General features: G+C 37.8%; 1 protein-coding gene across 25 annotated transcripts in view; it reads right to left on the minus strand.

Moving 5' to 3' along the window:
- Positions 1-18,029, minus strand: part of USP40 (ubiquitin specific peptidase 40) — a 91,257-nt gene that overhangs the window by 37,743 nt on the left and 35,485 nt on the right. For 24 of the 25 annotated variants that reach the window (NR_168054.1, NR_168052.1, NR_168049.1 and 21 more), the window contains 7 exons: positions 16,163-16,244; positions 14,139-14,310; positions 12,210-12,294; positions 11,224-11,294; positions 9,902-10,221; positions 7,723-7,846; positions 6,346-6,403 (listed from right to left, as the gene is read on the minus strand). Coding sequence is in view for 19 of the 25 variants with exons in the window: in NM_001382295.1 (NP_001369224.1) it covers positions 6,346-6,403; positions 7,723-7,846; positions 9,902-10,221; positions 11,224-11,294; positions 12,210-12,294; positions 14,139-14,310; positions 16,163-16,244 (912 nt within the window). In the remaining 6 variants the exon portion in view is untranslated. The remainder of the gene's footprint in view (positions 1-6,345; positions 6,404-7,722; positions 7,847-9,901; positions 10,222-11,223; positions 11,295-12,209; positions 12,295-14,138; positions 14,311-16,162; positions 16,245-18,029) is intronic. The other variant, NR_168053.1, reaches the window with a different exon arrangement.

The following is an 18,029-nucleotide window of genomic DNA, read 5'->3' on the forward strand; positions in this document are numbered from 1 at the left end:
CTGCTGCTTCTATAACTCCATATACTTTTGTTTCTTTGTGTACTTTCTTCTCTGTTGGTCAATTCCCTCTTTTGATTATGTATTCTTGTAAAATGTCATGGTGGGTTTAGCACTACAACACAACTACATGCTTTGCTGTCTGTGTAATGAAGTGTACATGCAGTGACAAACCACCAGACTTGAAAGAAATGAAGTCAATGGTTACTGCTTGTGGTGCACATGTGTTATTTATGTGATGAATTGTGCCCTGAAGAGCTGGCAGTCAAGTGTGTACTTTATTCAGTTACAGTTAATATACCATATACCATGGTTGCTGAAATTTTAACCATCTTGCTGGGGGATTGATGTTATATAACTAAATGGTAGTAATGAAATTCGTGCATGTCAGAGCAGTACAAGCAGACTGCCTATATTTAAAATATGTTGGGTGATTTTATGCTTATTAAATCGGCCAGCATGTGCTATGTTTGAGGATACAGATTCTTGCTTTGGAAGAATATATTTCCTCAAGATCCCCTGGTGCTTGGAAGGGGCATACCAAGTTTTCAGTTCAAACAGAATTCTTAAAAAGTAGGACATAAATTGGAGGGGTGGGGGAAGGTTGAGTGTTCTGTATAGACAACAATAGTCTGAGCCTTAGAAGTTCTAACTTTATTAGACCACAGCAGAATCCCTTTCTGAGATTCCTGAGTTCAATATCTTGTATTACAGTAATATGAGGCTAGCATACAATTCTCACATAAATCTCTTGTCGACGGAAACAATTTACTTAAAGAGTTCCCCAACTTAAAAAGTGCTTTTAAAATACTGTCTCTTTAAAATCTGTTGGTTTTCACTGAACAGGTACTTACTGTGTATTGGCTACGTGCCAGGCACTGTGCTAGAAACTGGAAATACAGTGGTAAGCAAAGCAGTGTAAACTCAGTCCTCACAGAACCTTGTCTAATGGGGGAGGTGGATATTAAAAACACAAATAAAAGGGCAGCTACAGTGATAAATGCTATGAAGGAAAAGTACAGGGTGTTAGGAGAGTACATCAGCAAGATTAACTGGGACTGTGTGGTCAGGGATGAAAGGAGAAGGAACATCTCATATAAGACCAAATAAACAGCTGAAGTTAAAAGCAAAGGGAAGAGACTTGAAAGAGAGACTGAGCACTAAGAAGTCTTGGGGGTTAAAGAGAGCTTGTGCACTGAGAAACGCAGAAAAGTCAGCATGGGAAGTGAGTTGTGAGTACGCAGAAAAGCAGATCACAAGGTTACAGTTAAGCAGGGGTCAAATTATTCAGGTTCTTGTAGGCTAGGTTAAGGAATTAACCTAAGTGCAATGGAAAGCACTAAAGGGCTTTGTGCGGAGGAGTGACAGGATCTAATTCACACGTATTGACGATGATCAAATGGTTTGGAGAGGGGCAAGAGTGGAAGAAGGGAGACAAGTTTCATGGGATGACAGCAAACTATGCATTTAATAAACCAATGACTTTTAATGGACTTTACTGAGTTATAATTTTCTTATAATAAAATACATCTGGTTTAAATGTACAGTTAATAGTTTGATAAGTACCTAAACATCTGGTAACCACCAGCAAACTGAGGTATAGTTTGCATCATCCCCCCTAAAACTCCCTGTCAATTTGCAGCCAATCCCTCTTCCTCCCTCCCAATCCTGATCTGCCTTCTGTAACTACAGCTTAGATTTTATTTGTCTAAAGTGTCCTATGTATGGAACCACACAATGTGTACTCTTTTGCATCTACTTTCTTTCTCTTGGCATAATGACTTTGAGATGCATTCATGTGTTGTATGTGGTGGAACTAGCAGTGCCTTGCTCTTCAGTGACGAACAGTATCCATTGCTTAAATACACCATCATTTGTTCATCCATTCGCCTGCTCATGGGCTTTAGGATTGCTTCCAGTTTGGGGTTAGGAACATTTATGTCTTTATAAGGATATATGTTTTAACTCTTATTCAGTAAATACCTAGACGTAGAATTGGTAAGTGGATGTTTAAATTTATAAGAAATAAGCTAACTTTTCCAAAGTGGCTTACCCATTTTACCTTCCCATCAGCAATATATGGGAGTTCCAGTTGCTCCACATCCTTGCTAACACTTGGTTGACTTAACATTTTAAGTTTTATTTACTCCACTGGGTGCACAGTAGGGTGTCATTTGGTTTTAATTTGATTGCTAATGATTCTGAGCATTTTTTCCTGTACTTACTGGTCATTCATAGGTACGTCTTCTTTTGTAAAGTGTCTGTTCAAGATTCTAAACCTGGGTTAGGTTACAAGGGTTTTTTTTTTTCTTTAATATTCTGAATGTAAGTTGATTGTCAAATATGTGTTTCATAAATATTTTCTCCCAGTTTGTGGCTTGCCTTTTCAAATGCTTTTTGAAGAGTAGAAGTTTAAAATTTTAATGTAAATTAATTAGGCTTTTCTTCCATGGTTTGTGCTTTTTGAGTCCTATCTTTAATACAAAAACCTTTCCTTATGATAAAGTAACAAAGATTTCCTCATATGTTTTCTCCCAGAAATTTTGTAGTTTTAGGTTTTAACTTTTAGTTGTATGATCCATTTAATTTTTGCATCAGGCGAAGTAAAGCTTGAGGTTCATTTCTGCACATACAAATATCTAAATGGCCCAGCACTATTTGTTGAAAAAATGCTATCTCTCTGCATGAAAATACCTTGGCACCTTTGTTGAAAGTCAATGACTACGCACCTATTTCTAGATTCTCTGAGTTCCACTGTAAATATTTTAGGCTTCACGGGCCACATGTGATCTCTGTTGCACATGCTTCTTGTTTAAACAGCCCTTTACTAGTGCGAAAACCATTCTTTGCCCACTGGCTGAAAAAAAACAGGTTGTAGGCCATAGTTTGCTGACCTCCTCTCTATATGTCTACCTGTATGCCAATATACACTGTCTAGAGTAAGCCTTGAAATCAGATAGTGTAACTCTTCCAACTTTGTTCTCTTGTTTTCAAAAGTGTTATGGCCACTTTAAATTATTTGTATTTCCATGAAAATTGTAGAGTCAGCTTGTCAATTTCTTTAAAAAATGTTAAGATTCTGTGTAAGAATATATTAAATCTACACATCAAATGGGGAAGAATTATCCTCTTAAGAATACTGTATCATCTGGCCAGGTGCAGTGGCTCACACCTGTAATCCCAGCACTTTGGAAGGCCTAGGCGGGCGGATCACGAGGTCAGCAGATCAAGACCATCCTGGCTAACACGGTGAAACCCTGTCTCCACTAAAAATTAGCCGGGCCTGGTGGCGGGCACCTGTAGTCCCAGCTACTCGAGAGGCTGAGGCAGGAGAATGGCGTGAACCCGGGAAGCAAAGGTTGCAGTGGGCCAAGATCGCACCACTGCACTCTAGCCTGGGTGACAGAGCGAGACTCCATCTCAAAAAAAAAAAAAAAGAAAAATTAGCTGGACGTGGTGGCAGGTGCCTGTAACCCAGATATTCGGGAGGCTGAGGCAAGAGAATCGCTTGAACCCAGGAGACAGAGGTTGTAGTGAGCCAAGATTGCTGCCCTGTACTCCAGCCTTGGGGACAGAGCAAGACTCCGTCTCGAATTGAAAAAAAAAAAAAAAGAATATTGTGTTGTCTGATTTGTGAATGTTGTATATTGCTTTATTTATTCAGGTCTTCTTAAATATCTCACAGCAGTATTTTCTAGTTTTTAGTGTACAGGTCTTGCACATATTTTGTTCATTTATGTCTAAGTATCCCATAATATTTTATGCTATTATAAATGTTTTCTTAATTTTGATGTCGATTTTGTTGTTGTTGTTGCTGGTAGGTAAAAAGGCAATGAATTTCTGTATATGATTTTGAGTTCTTGCTAAATTTACATGCATTAAGATACTAATTCACATTCAGTAGAATGGCCATGTTGGTGTGGATATGGTGATTAGGGAACACTTCAACACTGCTGGTGGGAACATAAACTAGTACAGCCACTATGGAAAACAGTGTGGAGATTCCTTAAAGAACTAAAAGTAGAACTACCATTTGATCCAGCAATCCCACTACTGGGTATCTACCCAGAAGAAAAGAAGTCATTATACAAAAAAGATACTTGCACATGCATGGTTTTTTGTTTTTTTTTTTTTTTTGAGACGGAGTCTCGCTCTGTCACCCAGGCTGGAGAGCAGTGGCGCGATCTCGGCTCACTACAAGCTCTGCCTCCCGGGTTCACGCCATTCTCCAGCCTCAGCCTCCCCAGTAGCTGGAACTACAGGCGCACACCACCACGCCTGGCTAATTTTTGTTGTATTTTTCAGTAGAGACAGGGTTTCACCATGTTAGCCAGGATGGTCTTGATCTCCTGACCTTGTGGTCTCCCCGCCTCGGCCTCCCAAAGTGCTGGGATTACAGGCGTGAGCCACTGTGCCCGGCCTGCACATGCATGTTTATAGCAGCACAGTTTGCAATTGCAAAATCATGGAACCAACCCAAATGCCCATCAATCAATGAGTGGATAAAGAAACTGTGGTGTGTGTGTGTGTGTGTGTGTGTGTGTGTGTGTGTGTGTGTGTATGATGGAATACCACTCAGCCATAAAAAGGAATGAATTAATGGCATTTGCCGTGACCTAGATGAGATTGGAAACTATTATTATAAGTGAAGTAACTCAGGAATGGAAAACCAAACACCGTATGTTCTCACTGATACGTGGGAGCTAAGCTATGAGGACACAAAGGCACAAGAATGATATAGTGGACTTTGGGGACTTGGGGGGAAGGGTGGGAGGGGGATGAGGGATAAAAGACTACAAATAGGGTGTAGTGTATACTGCTCGTGTGATAGGTGCACCAAAATCTCACAAAGCACCACTAAAGAATTTACTCATGTAACCAAACACCACCTGTACCCCAATAACCTATGGAAAAAATAACAATAAAAAATGTGCTCAAAATATGTTTTTTTTTTTAAAAGTCAAAACCAAACCAGTAACAGATTCTAAAAAAAAAAAAAAAAAAAAAAAAAAAAAAGATGGCTGGGCTCAGTGTCTCATGCCTGTAATCCCAGCACTTTGGGAGGCCGAGGTGGGCAGATTACCTGAGGTCAGGAGTTTGAGACCAGCCTGGCCAACATGGTGAAACCCTGTCTCTACTAAAAACACAAAAATTAGCTGGGCGTGGTGGCACACGCCTGTAATCCCAGCTACTTGGGAGGCTGAGGCAGAAAAATTGCTTGAGCCTGGGAGACGGAGGTTGCAGTGAGCGGAGATCGTGTCACTGCACTCCAGCCTGGCTGACAGAGTGAGACTCTGTCTCAAAAAAAAAAAAAAAAAAAAGATAATCACAATTAATCACAGATTGACAAGGACATGTAGAAACTGCAACCCTGACACACTGCTAGTGGGAGTATAAATGGTTCAGTCACTTTGGATAATAGTGCGAGAGTTTCTTATAAAGTTAAACATAAATTTGCAAATGACCCAGCAATTCCAATCCGGTACATGTACCCAAGAGAAATGAAAACATATCTCCTCACCAAGACTTATGTGTAAAAGTTCATAGTGGCATTATTCATAAAAGCACAAAAGTAGAGACAATCCAAATGTCTATCAATTCATGTTTGTCCAGGATAAACAAAATGTGATACTATCCATATAATGGAATACTAGACTAGTCAGCAATGCAAAGGAACAAGCTATTGATACGTACTAAATCATGGACTAACCTCAAAAATGATATGCTATGTGAAAGAAGCCAGACACAAAAGACTATATGTTTTATGATTCCAATTACATTAAACATTAAGAAAATAAAGTCTATAGAGACAGAAAGCAGATTAGTGGTTGCCAGGGGCTTGGAATACAGATGGGTACAGGGATATTTTTGGAGTAATGGAAGTATTCTAAAACTGGATTGTGGTGATGGTTATAGAACTCTACACATTTACTGATGATTACTGAATTAAACACTTAAACTGAGTGAATTTTATGGTATGTAGATTATATCTTAATAAGGCTGTCACAGAAAGCCTAATGGTAAGTGAATAGTGAGTTTGCAGAATATACATTCAGTATAGTACAACATGAATACATGGACTAGATACACACCCACATCAGATATACTCATTGTATCTGGGGAAGGAGAGAAAGAATAGGTCTGAGGAGGAGAACACAGGGGACTTTAACTTCATTTATAATGTTTCAAACAAAAACAAACATATGACAAAATGTTAATATTTGTCCATTTTGGGTGGTAGGTATGTGAGTTCTCCCTAAACTGTTTTTTGTATTCTCCTATATTTTCTTCAATTCAAGACCAAAATTAAGCTAAACTAAGAACCGAAAAGAAAATGTAAATGATTACCTAGTTCCTTCATTAATTTTAATTCCTTTATGGCTTTAATTCGAATATCAAACACCATCTAAAACAGAGAAATAAAATAATGACTAAGTTGTAAAAAATGGGAGGAGATGAAAATGAGGATTGTCACTGTGTGCATAAACAAATTATTTGAGATATTAATTACCTGACATTTAGTAGTTTTTGCCCACTGGAAATTTTTCCATCCCTGAAATCCTTTTATAAGATCAAAAGCAAAAACTTAGGACTTCATAGTTAAGTTTTTACCAAATTGATGTTAATTGGAACAGAAAGGACACCTACAGAAAACTACAGAAACTGTAGAAAACTACAGAAACTAAAGAAACTAGCTGAAAGGCAATAAGCTGACAAACCAGTAACTTTTCTCATGAAAGCAAACAAAATAAACTGCAGGCAATCACATTTCTCTATGTCAGGAATGATGAATGTGGGGCCAGTAAGCATAAATAAAAATGTATACTATCAGCCCGAGTGCACTATTTAAAATTTCTGTTTAAATGACTTTATTTTAGATTCTTTCCCTTTTTCAGTTTAACCTAATTTCCTCTAGGATACAAAATCTTGTAAATTTAGGAGTAAAACCGATGTCAGACAATCTGTCCTCCCACAGCACCCCACATTGTGAAAAGAAGAAACAGAGTGAGTCATAAAGGACTTCACCAAAGTCTCTCACTTAGGGTCAAGGTACTAGATCTTCTGAACTTTAGTGTATTCATCATACAGTGTAAATATTAACACACTTTAAGAAATTATAATATTTATATAAAAGAAAACAACATTCTAGTAAGTTTCAACTTGTTATAGAAAAAAAACCCATAATGAATTGAGACTACATAAATATAAAAAGGTATTTCCTGAGATGGTGTTTAACGAAACTAGTCTTCAAATGGAGAACTGAAAGAGTTCCTTTTAAGAACACCTGGCTTTACAGAAAAACAGAGTATAATGTAAAACAATTTAAGATAAATTTAAAAAACAGAAGTCCACAACACAAAACCAAAACATATGTATACTTGGCTTAAAAAAAATACAGAAAAGACCCTTGAAAACAGCATTTTCAAGGAAGCCAAAGAATTTCATTTTGTGGGAGCCAGAGAATTCCATGAACTAACTAAATGAGTAACTCCCACATTCTAATTCTAGGCTTTGGAGGAAATTTTAAAAGGCACGTATTTTCTTGAAATATGCTAAGGGCTAACATAGGTAAACAAGCAATAATCAAATGTTAAATAAAAAGCTGACTTCCTAAGAGCTGAAGTCTATTGAGACAACTGTTCTGAAAGATTAAGGTATTGTTTTCTAAATAAAATTCTGTTAACTGAAAATCTATCAGCCAACCTTTAATTATATTCTACTCACTGTGTTAACAGTTGCTGATATTTTAACTTGCTTCTCTTCAGATTCTAACTGGCATAAATTTTTAACGTGGAGCCAGTCAATCTCATTCATACTAGTGACCCATTTCTCTTCCTTGGTCAACAAGCTGTAGGTAAAAAGAAAAGATCAGAAATTAATACCTTTCCTTAGGCATCACTTCCAAAACTCTGCATGTGTCACTTAATGTGACTAATTAGAGGTGACCAAGTTCTACTGAGTCGTCTCTATGATAAGTGGGCTACCTTTGCAGGGTAATGTTAGGCAGTAGTCTATAGAGTCTATATTCATGACTCCAAATATTCTTTGATTTACCTACATAATTTGTTGCCACATTTTTCACAGAGAACTTCTGTAAGTAAACAGTTGCTGGCTTCTGCCTGCACCCTGCAAATCACTAGGGGAGCTTTAAAAGAGCACCTATGCCAGGAGCCTACCCCACTGGATCTAGATTTCATTTAACAACAGGGCAGCCATGTGCAGTCTGTAGACTGACACTGCACAAAAGGGCCACATCTAAGGAGTGTCACACATGGCATATATATTGTATACTGCATTTCTACATAGAGTTTTGTTTTATAATTGCAGCCGGCAGTAGAGTATCTTGTTCTAACATTTTCCCACAGATAGTAGTAAAGGGTCCTGAAGAGGTGCCTTCTTTCTAATTCACACAGAAGCATTAATGGGCTTGCCGAAGTCCTCTTTGGGAATGTACATTAGAGCTCTGAAACATCATTCTACTCTTTATTGCAGTTATTCCATTCTGAGCTCCTACCTTAAGCTAGCAATCCCAAATAAAACAAAGTATGAAGCACAAGATGCTCCATGAAGACTACTTTAAAATAGTGAAAAACTGTATGATAATTATGACAATGACCGTAATATATTAACTAAAACATTTAGCACTTACTGTGTGTACTTTGTAAGCACTCAACTCTTTCAATCCTCTCAAGTCTATGAAGTTGGCACTAGTTATTATCCCTATTTGACAGACAAGAAGACTGAGCAGAGAAAGACGAAATACCTTGCCCAAGGTCCCACTACAGCCTACTGACTTGCCTAGGAGCACAGTTAGGCAAACTATAATGTCACATAGATTACTATGTAGCCATTCAAGGCAGTTTATAAAGAGTCTACAAATCTCAAGGTTGGGCAGGGGTAATGGAAAGCAGGATACAACTACTTATCTACAAAATAATCATTATTAGGTTTAAAAAGAAAGGCACCCAAATGCTAACAGTGATTAACACTGCATGCTGAGAAGACGGATACTGTTTTGGGTCCCTTCTGTCTTCACTTTTGTATTTCCCCAGTCCCAATAAATGCATACTGCCTTTTATAAAGGAAATACAGTTCTTATAAACAAGGTAGGGAATGTCTGCAAAACCCCTGTCCAAAAGAGTAATAGTGGTAAGTGTACTACGAAAGAAACGGTCCACAAGTGCTCTGCTTCTCTGCATCAAAGCCACTATAAATAATGATACAGACATCCTGCAATCTAAGTAAATCTGTAGCACTGAGAAAACAGGGAGCTTGAAGTCTTCAATATATGGAAATATTGCAGTTACAGTGTATGACACATTGACTACAGCAATGTACTGTCACAGACATAGATGACAAAGAGATGCAGCTTTAAATGTGACCACAGGATTCATGGGGGTAATTCGCCACGTAACTGCTCTATTTGGGCAACTGGGTTCTCAAGAGTCACAGAACGGATTATAAGGAAACAATGAGTTGTCTTATGGGTCTCCTGAAACAAAATATCCAGAAACAATTTAGCCATAATGTTAATACCTTCTTCAGGAAAATTTTCAGTTTTCTCTGTGAGAATTTCCTTCGGTTTTATAACTGGCACTAATCAGAATTCACTTGATAACTTTTGCATTACAGCCAACTAATTGATACTCTATACAGTCTAGAAAATCAGGGATACTTATATTATTTTCTCACCACATTTACCAAAAAGTCCCTTTACAAAAAATCATGTTTTTCTCTAAGTTACATAACCTAAAACATTCCTGTATGCAATATTTAGAACATAATGTCTAGAAATAAAGAAACATTCAACTCTTGTCACTAAAATAAAGCTTTAGAGTTCTGCTGGGTGGTACTGTAATTAAAATGACTTTTAGAAATCCTTTTTCTCTTGTTAGCGAGTTACCTGTTATCATCATGAGAATCCTGAATTAAAATTGAGCTTCCATTTCTGAGCCCTTGCTCCCTGAACGTCTTCCTCATGTCTTCCTTGGGGATGGCCGTCCAACCCTCCCCACCTGGACATCCAGCACTGTTGATGAAGATGACACCTGCTGGGATTGCTAAGGCTGTGAGGACAGTGCCCACTTCTGCATTAGCTGGAAAGACATGTGGAGATTCTATCACCTGACAACACTTTTCTCCATCACTGCTTGTGTCTAGATGAAGAACATTTAAAAGTAGAGGTTCGCAGTCAATACCAGTTTGAATGTGGACTCCACCAACCTGCAATCATACCAAGACAACCATTAGTACAGCTGATATTTGCCAACACCGTCAACATAACATGGTAAAAGATTACTCTTAGAGAACAACCCTCATTTTTTCCAAGTAAAATAAAATTTTCACAAATGTCTGTTAAGCATCAGAGGAACAACTTCAGATTTTTCTTTTGAAACTTTCTTATCTTTTATTTTTTTAGGAGAAATCTATGATAGACTGGAGATAGACATTTATGAGTTATCATGGGTGGTGATGAAGCCAGATTGGCCAAGGTCAGTTCACAGAGTGGCTGAAGTGCTCCTGGCCGCCTTCTAGAGATAGAAAATTCACTCTCTACCTCCAAACCACCCCCACTCCCCAACTCAGTATAGATTCTCACTCTTCTAAATTCCCACAGGCACTATGCACAGACCCCCTACTCCAGCACGTATGGTGCAGTTCTTCACACGACGAGGGCCTAAAAGGACACAGATCAACTGACTGGCCTTTGATCTAGCATCTGACGCACAACCTGGTATAACGGAGGCGCTCAAGAAATGTCTCCTTGGCGTACAACTAGCACTGATTGTCCCTAACATTTATCAAGCATTTCAGTAGTTTTCTAATATCTAATTGCCCTCACATAGGCTGAATAAAATTTCATTACAATGACTTTTTTTTTGAGATGGAGTCTTGCCCTGTCACCCAGGCTGGAGTGCAGTGGTGTAATCTCAGCTCACAGCAACCTCCACTTTCCGGGTTCAAGCGATTCGCCTGCCTCAGCCTCCCAAGTCACTGGGATTACAGGCATACGCTACCATGCCTAGCTAATTTTTGTATTTTTAATAGAGATGGGGCTTCACTATGATGGCCAGGCTGGTCTTGAATTCCTGACCTCAGGTGATCTGCCTGCCTCGCCCTCCCAAAGTGCTGGGATTACAGGCATGAGCCACCATGCCCGGCCATTACGATGACTTTTAAAACATCCAAAATTATCACGAATATTTCTTCAGTAATTTTTTTTACCTCCACCCCATTCCACACAAAGATGTCTTCCCCATCAGCAATTTCAGTTTCACACAGTGTCAGTTCATCCCCTAGAAAGAGATCACCAGTGAGACCATTCATCATGACCATCAGAAACAACTGAGCTAAAGAAAGAGCTGAGACAAATATTTGTTTGAAAAAGTATTTTCACTAAGGAAAATTTAAAAAGTAGTAATTATTTTTATTCTATTGACATTATTTCATTGTAATTTTTCTTTAAAACGTTGTGACAAAAGCTTGTGAGCATGGTGGCAGGACAAGAGAGATAATCCAAAGGTCAAGTGTACTTGAGGCACATGACATTGGAAACAGGAGTTAGGCTTAAGCATGGAATGGTCCCAACTCCACCGATATGTCCATAACACAAGCTGTATTGTGTGCTTCAAGTCTCTCAGCTTCAGTTTTCTCATTTATGAAATGGAGATAAAAGAATTTTATGAAAATCAAGTGAGATAATTAACATAAAACACCTATTACAGATTTTGGCCCAAATTAGATGTTACTGCCGCTACTGTTAATTCTCATTGTTTTCCTGCTATTTAAAGGAAGTAAATGCTTTCAAACTCTCAAAGTATTTCTTGTTTTACTACAAAATCTGAAGCTGAGAACTGGGCAGAAAATCAAGTCACATAAATATGATTCAGATGGTTTGAAACTATGTTGTTCAACAATATGTGTCAATATAAAAAATTCTAAAGCTTTTCAAGAAATTTTAGTAGAGGTAGCCTTAATTTCAGAAAAAATAAAATGTTTCCATGTTAGAAGAATTTCACACATTATATAAACTGGATACATTAAAACGTGGATATTTTATTTCTTTTGGAAAACTTACAGTGTGAAGATAATCTACTTAGTTAAGAAAGTAGTAGGTGGGGAAGGACTGACAAAGAGTAGAAAATCGCAGGTGAGCCGGACAAAAATGTAGATATATAGAGTGAGTTGCTATGTTTTCATATTTATCTTACCGCCAAGTGACTGGTAAATGTGAAGTCCTGCTGGTACAAGCTTTGCAACACTAAGAACCATGTCTCCTTCCCAAAATTCTAACAGCTGAAGAATATTAATGAAGGAAAAGAGAATGTTGAAAAGTGACATATACATATCACCTTTCCAGGTTACTGTGCCAACTCACATATGAAGATGACACAGAGAGCAAGCAAATGAATACTCTCACCCCCACCCAACACCGAAAACTTGAAAAGAAGGCATCACTTGTTAAATTAGTCAAAGCCAAAGACGGCTAATCTCCTCCATTCCTGAGTGAAGAATTCTGGCCTACACAAAGGGCACAACAACCATCTAAACAATTCTGCTTAATATATATGAAGAGCACTTTTCTCAGAAAGCAAGTTGATGAGCATGTCAGCCTAGGAATTTTTACTCAAAAGAGCAAGACTAATTTGCAGAATTAGCAATGTTGAGGGAAATGTAGCCCTGACTCTAGCACACACTCATCTTCTAGCTGCTTGAAAGGAATGTCTCCCATTGCAAATTTATAAAGGTGCATTACCAGTTTACTTAATAGATTACCATGGCTTTGCTCTTTAAGTTTCTAGATCTGAGAGTCTGAGCACTGTGGCAAGGTCACCAAAATAATATCACCATAAAAGTCATTCCTATCTAGTCATTCTCTACAATACCATAAGGTATTTTCTTAAAAAGAAACTTCTTATTTACAAGTGATTAGTTTGCTGTGAATTAAGTTTTCTAGCCTCTTGTCAGTGGCTTCCTTCTAAGAGAATAGTTAGTAGGCATATACACTTAAAACACCAAAACACACAGACTGGAGTGTACCTCACACTTACAAAGTGAATAAGATCCTTTCCATTTAAAATATCCCCCTAGACTAGGTTCAGATTCCCACATCTGCCTGTATCAACAGTGCCAGAATTGGCTCAGAAATAAATTTCTAATGAAAAAGTTCAGAAATATTAGACAACTTTAGAAATCCTGACACTGATCTAGTATTTAAAAAACTTCAAATCAACTAAGGTTAAAAGGGAAATTGCTTTGCTTTTCTTAGCAGAAGAAAATTGAAAGAAAGCTAATAGTTTTGGTAATAGGATTTTTCAGAAAATTCATTTAACTAATTTCTGGGAAAAAACACAAAAAAGCTAACATTTTCTATCTCCCTTTTCCTTGATCAGAAAGTAGTGTGGAGCAGGAGGGTGATTAGGAGAAAAAAACCCTAGATGAAGAGTAGGGAGAAGAGGGACAGAGTCCCAGCTCCATCAACTAGATTTAGGACCACAGGCAAGACATTGAGTCTCTTTAAATCACACTGCCTCAACTTCAAAATGGGGCTAATGTGTCTTCATGAGATTAAAGAACCAAATCACATGATTTATATGAAAGCAGTGTAAGTAAAATAAAGAACACTGCTGTTGCTATCATCATTAAAACATACCTAGAAAAATGACTTGGAGACTACAGCACTGTTTTTACTCTAGACTAGCAGATACTTTCCTTCACTTAAGAATATTATTAATAAATACTGTTCTATACTACAGGGTATAAAGTTAGTTGCGTTTATTTGTTCAGCAGTTCTCAGTTTTACACAACATGCTCATCTTTATCTTTTCACTCTCTTTGAAAGGCAATTTGCTTTCATTTATTTTCTAAAAAAGAGACAACTTTATACTCTTTCTTCCCCTCAAATAAAATGTACCAGGCCTGATTGTCTACCTGAAAAGCTGCTGGTAGGAGCTGTGGAGAAAAGCCTCTCTAAAAGACTTAGGAGAGAAGATTTGGGTCAACCCTCTATGAAGTGGCAGATGTCAGATCTTCCTAAGCAGCTTTGAAAAATAAAGTTGTATCCTAAACAGAATGAAATGGAGAGTCTAGCTGGAGATGGTGCTCGATGTCTGAATTAAGAGGAAGTAAGGCGATATTACCTGAAATATTGACTGCCGGAGATCTCCTAAAGTTTTTCTTTTATCAAAGGTCAAATCCCACACGCTTTCTGTTTGAGAGACTACTGGGTGCAGAGCCCCATTGAAGAAATGATACTGAGGGCCCAGGTGAAGATGCAATTCAAAAGTATTGTTTGCAGAATCACATTCTGCCCTTTAAAGAGGCACAAAAATACATAAATACTGTGTTTTTATAACAGACACTGTGTTTTATCTCAAACCAAAGATATCTGGCTTACAATAAAGTTCTCCATCCCACCAAAGTAACAATTTTTCTTCTATGTGCCACAATTAGTCACTTTAATTTTTCAGTCAATAGCAAAAATTCAGTTCTGTCACCATGAATTCCAAGAGAAAACTGTTTTAACATAGGCTGCAATGTTAACTCCATTTCTCTGAACAAAGGCTGACACTTGAAATCTTCTAATTCTGAGATTATATTATAGTTATGAACAAAATGCTAGAGACCTGCTTACATCATTATGTTAAGTAGCAGATTTACTTCCATGTCATCTATCATCCTTATTTCCACTAGATTTTGCACATTCTCCCATGATTTTTTTTTTTTTTTTGAGACAGAGTCTCACTCTGTCGCCAAGGCTGGAGTGCAGTGCTGCGATCTTGGCTCACTACAACCTCTACCTCCTAGGTTCAAGCGATTCTTCTGCCTCAGCCTCCTGAGTAGCTGGGATTACATGTGTGTGCCACCATGCCTGGCTAATTTTTGTATTTTTGGTAGAGATGGGGTTTCACCATGTTGACCAGGCTGGTCTTGAACTCCTGATCTCAGGTGATCCATTTGCCTCAGCCTCCTAAATTGCTGGGATTACAGACGTGAGCCACTGCGACCGGCCCCATGAAATATTTGAAGCCAGTAGCATGAACCTCCCGAGACCACATTATCCAGGCTAAAAGTCCTTGGCAGCAGCCTGGTGTTGGCTGCTCTTCTCTGAATCCACTTGGCTGACTCGAAGCCAGTGCGAAACACAGGTAGGGTCTGACCAATGTGGAGCTGGAATGAGGCTTATCACGCAACTCACGTACTTCAGGACACTTCAATGAACATGGTCAGAGAGCACAACCACACGAAAGACCTTAGTGCGGGTTGATGACAGCCCCTCAGGCTCTGCCTTTTATTTTTTTATTTTTATTTTTTTAAAATAACAACTGCTAGTCCAGACCACTTATGCAGGTTATTTTTTAGACTTAAGATATTTCGCTCTGTTAAGTTTTAATCTTTTTGGTATCTTGGTTTTTGTTGTTTCTTTGCTCGTGTCATTCACTGTACTTTTTTCCCCCAGCTCCAAGCCAATGATAAAAATGTCAAATACACCCTGTCACATAATCAGGCAGTTTGGTCCACAAGGAGATCACGGTAACATCCATTTTCCTAACCCAATACCCTATTGACCCTAACAGAGCACAAATAAAGAAGCAGTTCAGAGTCAAAGGTGAGGCCCCAAAAGAGAATGCTGAGATCATAAAGTTCTCACAAACCATCTCTTTAAGTAAGAATCCATCATAGGCTTTCCCCCAAGATCAGCATTGCATTCAATAGGTTATAGCATCCATATTTCCCTCCTTTTGAAAATCTGCCCACCACTGATCCTCTCTCACTACATGCCAGTTCGCTACAACTACTTACCTATGAGGGGTGATTTTCATGGCAGGCTCTCTTTGGACCCAAGGAAATAATCTGGCCAGGCCAGGATACAATTCATTCAGCCCAACTATGTGCTCACTGATTTCTCTACTCTTGTTAGGCTTCGATCCCTACTTAGCAATGGCTGTTTTATATGTCACCATTTAATTCACTCTCACACATAAGGGATAATTTCAGAGTTAAAGTTACCCTCACTATAAAAATTCAGCAGCCAAACAGACACTTGCATTAACAAGTTGACTATTTTTTTTCTTTTTAATTTTCATTACTGAATGCTTAAGGCCTAAATCAGATCTTTATTCTCCGGAATACTAGTCAAACTCTAAAAGCAATTTAAAATTACCTTTTGGTTTGCAGTTCAATGTTAGCTGCATCCATTTCATTCAGTAAATGACATGGAACCCCATATCTTGGATTAGCTCGAGCTGTGAACAAAATTTTTCATTAACTTGTGTTGGCTAAATGAAATCTGGTTGCTGGAAGAGGTAGCATGAAGACTAGGAAGGACTGTCCTAGGAGCTAGGAAAGCTGCTACTAATTAGCTGTGTGAATACGAATTTTCTCAGGATCTCAGTTTTCCCATCTGAAAAATGAAAAAGTTAGAACAAATGAAAAGTAAACATTTCTTTAAGACAAGCTAGAAGAATTCCATTTTTTCAACTCTTTTAAGTATACTTTTTAAAAAGAACACCCAGATTTTCATCTTTTTTTTTTCTTTTTCTTTTTCTTTTTTTTTTTGAGACGGAGTCTCACTTTGTCGCCCAGGCTGGAGTGCAGTGGCGCAATCTTAGCTCACTCTGCCTCCCAGGTTCAAGCAATTCTCGTGCCTCAGCCTCTGAGTAGCTGGGATTACAGGCTCCTGCCACCACGCCTGGCTAATTTTTGTATTTTTAGCAGAGACAGGGTTTCGCCATGTTGCCCAGGCTGGTTTTGAACTCCTGGCCTCAAGTGATCTGCCCGCCTCAGCCTCCCAAAGTGCTGAGATTAAAGGCATAAGCCACCACGCCTGGCCTCAGATTTTCATCTTGATTACAAATACAATAAATGACTACTGTAAAAATTCTGGAATTTTTTTAAGTGTAAAAGAAATAGATACTGCTCATAATTTCACTCCCAAGACACACACACACACACACACACACAGGCACACACACAAACACACACAATTTTAAAAACTGGGATAATATTCAACAAATCTATTTTCATTTCATACACTGTATTTTCCAAAGTCTTAAATAAATGATTACATAGTAGTCCATTCTATAAGGAGCATAATTAACCTAACCAATCTTTTTCTGTTAGACATTAAGGTGATTTCCAATTAATCACTATTTTAAAATAGTAGGAACAATAAACATCTTTGAGCATCAACATTCATATACAGCTCTGATTACTTTAAGACAAACTTGTGAAAGTAGAATTACTGGTTTAAACGGTATGACAGTTTCAAGGCTTTTAAATACACATACTCAAACTGATTGTATTCCATACCTACCAGCTCTGGAGGAAATGTCACCTGTTGAAACCCAAGAGTCACAGAAATAGTATCTGATTTGGTGGGGCATCTCACTAATGTTCATCTCATTGCCATTCTTCTTCTTCTTTTTGATTACAGGTTAAATTGAAAATTTTTTGAAACACAGGAATCTTCTTTTTGTAAATTGCTTATTTATATCATTTCCCCAATTTACTACTGAGCACAATGAAATATATGTAAGCGCACTCTACAGATAGGGGAAATTAATTTGTCATATATTTTACTGTTTTCCATTAGCTTGTCATTTGCCTTTTAATTCTGTTTTAAGGGTTATATCACTTTGCCCTAGTTTTTTCTTTCTTTGCTTTTATGCTTAGAAAGGTTTTCTTTACCTTAAGATCAAATATTTATATTTTACACATTTTACGATTCCTTTTTTACATAAATATTAAAGGAACTATAATTTCATTTAAGTGATTTGTATAACAAAGAAAAATGGCTTAGTTATTTCCCTAGCAAATAACCAACTTCCCAGTTGTATTTATTGAGTAATTCACTCCCTTCCTTCCCCAAAATATCTGAAGAGCTACCTTACCACGGATTAAAACACAAATATGCTTAGATCAACTCCTGGGTTTACTGCTCTTTTTCAATGATCTGTCTACCTTTTTGCATTACCACTACACTGTCTTCATTGCTATAACTTTATAAATATGTTTTTACTGATACAGCA

This window comes from Homo sapiens, chromosome 2, assembly GCF_000001405.40.
Source record: "Homo sapiens chromosome 2, GRCh38.p14 Primary Assembly".
Classification (NCBI taxonomy): Eukaryota; Metazoa; Chordata; class Mammalia; order Primates; family Hominidae; genus Homo; species Homo sapiens.